The 8,740-nt window shown below is 48.9% G+C and overlaps 1 long non-coding RNA gene across 1 annotated transcript; it reads left to right on the top strand.

Moving 5' to 3' along the window:
• The first annotated feature begins 6 nt into the window (after positions 1-6).
• LOC107987366 (uncharacterized) lies at positions 7-8,208 on the top strand. The gene is made up of 2 exons (XR_001756124.2): positions 7-4,302; positions 4,890-8,208. It is a non-coding gene; the product is annotated as an uncharacterized LOC107987366 (long non-coding RNA).
• The last annotated feature ends 532 nt before the right edge of the window (positions 8,209-8,740 follow it).

Raw genomic sequence — 8,740 nt, 5'->3', positions numbered from 1 at the left:
GAATTCACTAGAAGAAAGAAGAGGAAGCAGCAAGTGCAAGGCCCTCCTGCAGCAGGAGGGAGCATAGCACATTCAAGGAAAAGAAGCCAGCAGTGTGGATTACAGAGGAAGAGTGCAGCACGAGGGCAGTGGCTTGAGATGAGGCCAGAGAGGAGGGCACGCAGGACCAAGGGGACCAAGGCAAGGATTTTGGTGTCCATCAAATTGGAGAGTGCTGAGCAGGGGAGGGGTAACCGTGTAATTGCCTTTCTCAAATGCCCGTTTTACCGTAGCAAGGATAGACTGGTAGAAGCAAGGGATGAACTGGAGAGATGAGTGAGGAAGCTGCTCCAGAAGACCCATCAGGAGATGATGGTGACAGGGAATTGAGTGGTAGGAATGACAATGGGAAGAGATGAGCGGAATCCAGGTATTTGTGGGTAGAAGTGGCAGGTGTGGCTACTTATTGGAGATGGGGCTGTAGAGCTGTGAAGGTGTGAGTCCTTTACTTATCCATCTTAAGGGTCACGGCCAACACTCCTATAACAAAAGACACATTAACAAGAGAAAAACAGAGCAAATTTATTTAATCCAAGTTTTATGTGACATGGGAGGCTTCAGAAATGACAACCCAAAGGCCCAGGGAAAACTGTTAATTTTTATGCTTAGATTAGATGAAGAATGGACAGCCAGATAGAAATGTGATTGGACAAACGGGTATGACCTACTGGGAACAGACTGAAAGGGGACCCAGCAAAACAGTCTGCTCAGATTCTTCTCAGCCTCTCTGTGTAGCCTCCATTCCTCCTGGGTATGGGGCGGGACCCTTTCTGAAATGAGAGTTTTCAAAGGAGAAGGAGAAGATAGAGAGTGACCTTTCTAGGTTTTATGGTTTGCTTTAGCAGGAGGGTTTCTAGGTTCTATGACCCATCTTGAGGAAGATAAATTCTGGTTTCTGTGACTCACTTTGGAGGATGAAGGCAAGCAGAAGAGAGGGTCTGAGGAGGTTGGAAAGACCTTGCTTCTGAGTTCCTTCCAATGTCCTTCAGTTCAAAATACTCAGGCTGAGGCACCACGCTTTGGGGTGTCATGTTCTAAGCCCCGACAGCATAAGGGCAGCATTGAGACAGCCTTTGCAGCCTGGCCTGCATAATGGACAGACGCTAGTGCAATCCATAGGGTTGGAAATGTGGAGGGATAACTGAATGGCGATGCCGGGAGCCTTGAGTTCAGTGTTGGACACATTGAGTGTAAAGTGCCTTTGAGACACCCAAGTAGGCTGTTGGAAATAACCAGCCTGGAGCTGAGAGGTCAGGTTGAAAAGCAGTGTCTGGACGGCAGGTGGGCCCTTGGCCATGAATTAGACCACCAAGGAGAGCAAAGTGAGAAGTCAAGAGGACCTAGTAGGGCCCCTGAAAACTCCAAATGGCCAAGAAGAGGCAAAGAGCTACAAACAATCCTGAGAGGGGGCCGAGGGCAGAGCCACCTGGAGGGAATGTTCATCAAAGTCACACCCTGCCCCTGCATCCGCCCCTCACTCTGCACATGGGAGCTCAAGAAGCCAAGGGGCTTGCTCTGTACCCGGGTCACCCAGCTTCATCCTGGGCAAAATGAGATCACAGTCCCCGACTCTCATTTGCCCTCTTTTCTGCTTTTGTTTTTTTTTTTTTTTTCTTTTATGCTCTTTTTCATTTTTTTCTGGGTACACATTAGGTGCATATATATGTGAGGTACATGAGATGTTTTGATACAGACATGCACTGTGAAATAAGCACATCATGGAGAATGAGGTGTCCATCCCTGAAGCATTTATCCTTTCTTTCTTTCTTTCTTTTTTTTTTTGAGATGGAGTCCAGCTCTGTTACCCAGGCTGGAGTGCAATGGCGTGATCTCTGCTCACTGCAAGCTCCGCCCCCCAGGTTCATGCCATTCTCCTGCCTCAGCCTCTTGAGCAGCTGGGACTACAGGTGCCCGCCACCATGCCAGGCTAATTTTTTTTGTATTTTTAGTAGAGATGGGGTTTCACAGTGTTCACGGGGATGCTCTCGATCTCCTGACCTCATGATCCGCCCACTTCGGCCTCCCAAAGTGCTGGGATTACAGGCCTGAGCCACTGCACCCGGCACATTTATCCTTTCTAATACCAACAATCTAATTACAGTCTTTTAGTTATTTGTAAATGTGCAATTATTAATGACTACAGTCATCCTGCTGTGTGATCAAACAGTATATCTTATTCATTCTTTCTAACATCATCCCCACCTGCCCTCAGCCCCCCACTCCTCTTCCCAGCCTCTGGTAACCACCTTTCTGCTCTCTAGCTCCATGAGTTGAACTGTTTTGATTTTTAGATCCCACAAATCAGTGAGAACACGCAATGTGTGTCTTTCTGTGCCTGGCTTGTTTCACTTAACATAATGACCTCCCATTCCATCCATACCATTTTCTGCTTTTGTACAAGGCATCAAGGCATAAAAAGCAGGGCAATGGGACTCAATGGATTTTCCACGCTGCTCTAACACACTACTGCAAACCTGGCAGCTTCAAACAACACAGATGTATTCTCTCATAGTTCTGGAGGTCACAAATCCAAAACGAGTCTTCCTGGACTAAAACTGAGGTGTTGCCAGGACCCTTGGTAAAAGCCCTAGAGGAGAATCCATTCCTTGCCTCTTTGGTGGCTGCTGGCATTGTGAATTGTGGGCACATCACTCCAATCTCTGCCTCCACGGTCGCATCACCTTCTCTTCTGTAGTCGAATCTCCTCTGCCTCCCTCTTCATCTATAAGGACACTTTGTGATTACATTGCGTATCCACACAGATAACCCACGATAGTCTCCCCGTCGCAAATCTTTGAAGTAATCTCATCCACAGAGTCTCTTCTGCCAACATCCCATTCACTAGTTCTGGAGGTTAGGACGTGGACATCTTTGGGGGTTATCATTCCCCCTTTCACAGGCTATCTGGGCTGTATACAGAACCAGAGATCTGAGAATCATCTTGGCGGCCTCACTCTGTGAGCAGAGAAACGTGTCTGTGCTCAGCAGCAATCCCTGGAGGCAGAGACTGGAAATTACACCTGCAACCGTAGTAAGAGCTTGCCAGGGGCCGGAATGGGTGCCATAACTAGAGCTGTACAGGCATCCACCTCAATTCTCTCAGCGGCCCTTTGAGGTCGCTCTCTTACTGCCACCAAGGTGCAGGGTGGTGAAGTTAACTCAGAGCAGAGACCTGGCCTCGAAGCCTCGTCTCCCTGGGGAACAACCAATCAGCAGGAACCTGAACACAAGCACGAGAGGCAATCCGAGCCCTTCCCCAAAGCCTCACTCTTCATTCACTCTGGCTGGAATCCTGCCCTCCCTTCAGGGCCAAGCTTAGGGAACAAGGAGCAACCAGATCCTACCTCCAAGGACAGAGCCCTTACATATTTCTGCAATCTGTCTGCAGCTGATGGTCTGAATGAGCATCGTGTCATCACAGCACTTGTAAATTTTGGAGGGGCTCCTCCACACTGAGGGAATATGCTTGTTCAGGGAAGGGCACACTCCCCCATTTCTCCCGGAACCACACTTCTGCCGTGGGACCCTGAGAACACAAGGGCCCTCCCCTTGCCCTGTTGCTTCATGTGGCTTAGTCTTGCTTAACAAACATGCTAGGTGTGGAGGCTGAGGCCTACATGTAGTGTTGAGGGCAAGCAGGGACCGCCTGGAAATGCTGAAAGCATTCTCTTAAAGTGAGGCCTTCCCATCATGATTGCTAGGCCCATGATGAGAAGATATTGCAGGAAAGCACGACCTGGACCATAGAAAGGGCAGATCAATGTGTGGGCCTTTATGTGCTTATCCCTCCCACCACCCTGCTGCAGACCCCACCCACACTCAAGCTTAGCCCCTGTGGCTTGGAACCCAAGGACGCTTCTGAGCTGAGGCAGACTTCAGGGAGTACTAGTTAGGATAGGTCAGCTGCAAGTAACAAACAAACAAACAAAATACGCAGCAAACTCTGGCCCTCAGGGCCAAATTCAGCCCACCATCTATTTTTATAAGTAAAGTTTTATTGGAACATAGGTGTACCCATTCATTTACACATTGTCTATGGTTGTTTTTAGGGTTGTAGTGCCAACAGAGATCTCATGGCCCACACAGAGCCTAAAATGTTTTCCATGTGGCCCTTTATGGAAAAAGTTCGCCCACCCCTGGCTTGAACAATGACAACATTGAATTATCTGCCATCACAAGAACTCCAGAGGAAGGTGGCTCCAGGGTCACACGAAGGCTCAGCAAAGTCCTCGAGGCCCCAGGCTCCTGTTCCCTCCTTGGCAGGTTGGCCTTTCTTCTTGGGCTGGTTTCTTCATGGTCACAAGCCGGCTGCCACAGTTCCAGGCTTGACTGCCTCTCAGAAGCACATTCAGGCCAGGAGGAAGGGCAGGCTTCCTCCTCACCTCTTCTTATTTAGGGATCAAAAATCCCTCCAGGGCGGTGCAGCAGAGGTCCCTTACCTCTCAGTGTTTAGACCAGAGGTCAGTAAGCATTTCCTATAAAGGACCAGATAGTGAGTATTTTAGGCTTGTCAGGTCACATATGATCTCTGCAGCATATTCTGTGTGTGTGTGTGTGTGTGTGTGTGTGTGTGTGTGTGTGTGAGAGAGAGAGAGAGAGATGACCCTTTAAAAATGTACACTCCATTCTTCTCATGAGCCATAGTTTGTCAACGCCTGGTCTGGCACTCTTCACATGCCCTCTCCGTGCCCATCTCCAGCAAAGGATAGCGGGCTTACCCTTGCTATCAAAGGTGCTTGGCTTAGACCAATCACCCAAAACTGATGTTTCAGAGATGCCTGCTGGAGGAGTATAGGCAGATATTACTGATGTCAGAAAAACAGTTTGAGCGCCACTTCCTTCTCTGGCAGGAAGGAGTGATTGGCTGCTGGTCCTGCCCTGTCCGAGGAGGAGGACGGAACCCACCCACCAAGCTGTGGAGAGGTGGACCCCACAAATCCCCTCGCAAGCCACGTCTGAGAGTGAGCAGAGGGAAGAAACTCAAGCGTTTGTAGTCCTCTTTCTTAACAACCAGGCTTAAAGCGTCATCTTGTGTCTTGAAGGCAGAAGGAGATCAGGATGTGTGTGCTAGAAGCAGGCAGAGGATCTTCACCAATGTCTCAAAAACTAGAGAAGGAAACATGGCGATCCTCAAGGCCCGCGGCAGCCCCAGCCCTTCCCGCACCCTGCGATAGTCTGGTGTTGGGAGGGTGGCCCACGTGTCCAAGCAACCACATCAGGGAGGTTCCGGGAGAGGAGAAGGCAAAGCTCATGCCCTCATGAGGCAGGCAGTCCCATCCAGGACTGGACTGGATGAGCACCAATAAATAAGAAAACACAGCTGGCAGCTGACTGTGAAGGGTCTGGACAGGGTGCCGAAGTGAAGCGTAATGAGCTGGATAGTGAGGACTTCACTACAGAGGGACATCTATCTACACACAGCCTGAAGGGTGAGAAAGATGGATCCTTGCCCTGAGCCAGAAGTGCACACCCCAGAGAGAGCAGCTCCTGCGGAGGTCCTGTGGGGCAGGCATGGTAGGAATATTAAAGAGAAGAAGCCAGGTGTGGCTGCAGCCATGCAGGAGGAAGGGCGATGGGGTTGGGGAGGCAGAGGATGGGACTGGCATGAGAAGATGGAGATGCAGAGCCCAGATCGTGATAGCCCCAATAGTCCACGGGTAGGAGTTTGTATTTTCTACTAAAAGCAATGGGAGGGCGGGGCGCGGTAGCTCATGCCTATAATTCCAGCACTTTGGGAGGCCGAGGCGGGTGGATCACCTGAGGTCAGGAGTTCGAGAACAGCCTGACCAACATGGTGAAACCCCATCTTTACTAAAAGTACAAAAATTAGACAAGTGTTATGGCGCGCGCCTGTAATCCCAGCTACTCAGGAGGCTGAGGCAGGAGAATCGCTTGAACCCAGGAGGCGGAGGTTGCAGTGAGCTGAGATCATGCCATTGCACTCCAGCCTGGGTGACAAGAGCGAAACTCGGCCTCAAAAAAAGGGAGGGGGGGCAATGGGAAACCATTGAATCGTTTTTAGCAGGTGGCCTGATTTGATTTACATTTTTTAGACATGTAGCTTCACTATCATGGTTATGGTGGTCCGTGCATTACTAACATTGCTAAAACCACCATCATGCCAGAATTACCCTCCCATTTGTGGGTTAAAACACTGCACCCATCTGTCCCTCCCCAGAGTCCTCTTAGTGGCTGCTCTTAGGAGGAACTAACATGGACTACATTCCCCCATCACACCCAGCACAAGTGCCCTCCCAGCCTCCCCCACCCAACTCAGTCCCATTCACACGCGGCATGCCAGGGACTCTCCCATCAGGGGAACACCCTGTAACTCCCAAGTTCCTCCAAAGCCTCTTGAGAGGGACCATGGTGCCCTGCAGGGAGTGGGTCCTGGTGGGTCCAGTGGAGGGAACGTCCTTGCTGAAACTGGCTGGGTCTTAGCCGGGAAGTGGTGACAGGTATCTCTCACATACGCTACGGGAACCCAGCGCAGCCAATGGAGTCCAATCAGCACACCTTGCGCCCACCCCTTCGTTTGGTAACTTGAGGCCACTGCCCACCCGCCAGGTACCCTCTCTCAAGCGTGCCCTGAAGTTCAGGGAAAGACGCCAGCACCCCCTGCTGGTTGCGCTCTCCCATAGCAGGGCTCACATTTTGGGAGAAAGAAATCAGCTGTTAGCAGCTTTCGTTCTTCACCATGTTAAGCAAAGCACAACATTTTATAACTGGGTGAAAAGCCAGATATTCTGTCAGCTGATTTGATTGTTCTGTACGCATATCCCTAAGCCATTGTTTGACGGATATTTTTACTGAGTTGACTTTCTTCATAAGATGATAGGACTAATGAAGAGAAAAGGCAATGGAGTTTTTAAAACCAGCGTGATGAACCAAATGCTGCCACTGACTAGCTATGTACATGTAATCCAAAGGTTCCCTCCGTTGAAACAAAATAACAGTGCTTACCTAACCAGGTCAGCTGTGAGCTGGGACTTCACAGACAGGCATAGAGAGACATGGATGCAGGAAGGGCTTCCTTAGCTGAGAGGGTCGTGAAACTGGAAGGTAGTAGCAAGCATTTTCCAGTTGGATCTTTTGGCCGACATTTGTAGTGGGGAGACAAACATGTCTAATTTTCCCCCCACCCCGGCACATGGGCAGGTAGGAAGATGCTGGTGGGTTTGGTTCGACAGTTTGGAGAATGTCTTGTGGAAGGGGTGCTTTTTTTAATGCACACTCAGGCACCATGGGAGCCTGTTGTCACCCTGGATATCTAGCTCCATGCCCTTGCCCTTTCACTCTGCCTCGACAAGAGTCATGGCACCCAAAATACATGAGTTCAAATCTGAGTTTCACAGGCTCAGGGAGGAACCCAAGCTACCAAATGCACAGGCCCCTCCTGTATACGGTTACAGCAGGTAAGGGAGTAACTTACTCAGTGCAAGCTGCTGTAACAAAATAGCACAAGCTGGGTGGCTAATCAACAACAGGCATTTATTTCTCACAGGTCTGGAGGCTGGAAGCCCAAGATCAGGGTGCCAGTGCTGGCATGGTTGGGTTCTGGTGAGGGCCCTCTTCCAGGTCACAGACAGCTGTCTTCTCATTGCATCCTCACATGACAGAAAAGAAGTGCACAAGCTCTCTGGCCCCCTCTTACAGGCGCTAATCCCATTCACAACGGTCCTACCATCATGACCTCATTACCTCCCAAAGACGACACCTCCAAATACCACCACATTGCCATTAAGCTTCAACATATGAATTTAAGGGGGAAACAAACATCCAGTCCATTGCAGATTGTTCTGATAATATGTGTGCCCAGGGCATTGCCCCCACAGCAAAGAGCGACATTGGAAGGCAAACCAATGTCAGGTTTCCTAATGTGCACGGAGTCATCCCTGGAAGAGTGAGTCCGGTGATCTTACCAGCTAATTGCATTGAGCTACCCCACCTTGGGGATCTACCTGCCAAGGAGAACAGAACACCACTGGCTTTGATACCCATCTCTCAACAATGATGGAAGAATGCTGGAAATTTACCTGCTCTGGTAGCTCTCTCTAAGTTCATCTTCCTTGTATGGACTTTCTTTTTTTATTGCTCTCAAATACTTGTATTATTAAATATCTCATTTAAAATTTCTTTAAAATACATTAAAAGTACATTTAAAGAGTACATTTTAAGAGTGCAGATGAAAACATAATGAATACATCTTTGCTTAAGAAAAAATATTTCGGACACAGCATGAACTCAGTTGCTGGTTCCAAGCCCCTCCCCTTCTCACTACACTGAACTTGGCATGCATTCTTTCTTCAGGTGTGTTTGTAATCTTACTACATATGGACATATCCCCCAGCAATATCAGGGATTGTTTTGCTTGTTCCTAGACATCATATAAATGGTATCATACCAATTATACCCCTACACTACTTAATGTTTCATTCAACATTGTTTTGGGGGACTATCCATGTTGATACATGAATTCTGTTGTGTTCATTTTTTCCTCTTGTGAAATAGTCCATTATGGAAATTGTCCCTAGTGTGTCTATCTGCACTCCTAATTGACAGGCATTTAGGCTGTTTTCCATTTTCCTAATTACAATTATGCTGAGTGAACATTCCTGAACACAGGTGTGAGGTTGTCTCTGGAGCACATGCCAGGGAACAGAATTCTTAGGTCGTAAGGAATGTGTACCTCCAGCCTTAG

Source organism: Homo sapiens, assembly GCF_000001405.40.
Source record: "Homo sapiens chromosome 1 unlocalized genomic scaffold, GRCh38.p14 Primary Assembly HSCHR1_CTG7_UNLOCALIZED".
NCBI classification, from domain to species: Eukaryota; Metazoa; Chordata; class Mammalia; order Primates; family Hominidae; genus Homo; species Homo sapiens.
Note: the sequence above shows the minus strand (reverse complement) of the source record. Positions and strands in the feature narration are given on the sequence as shown.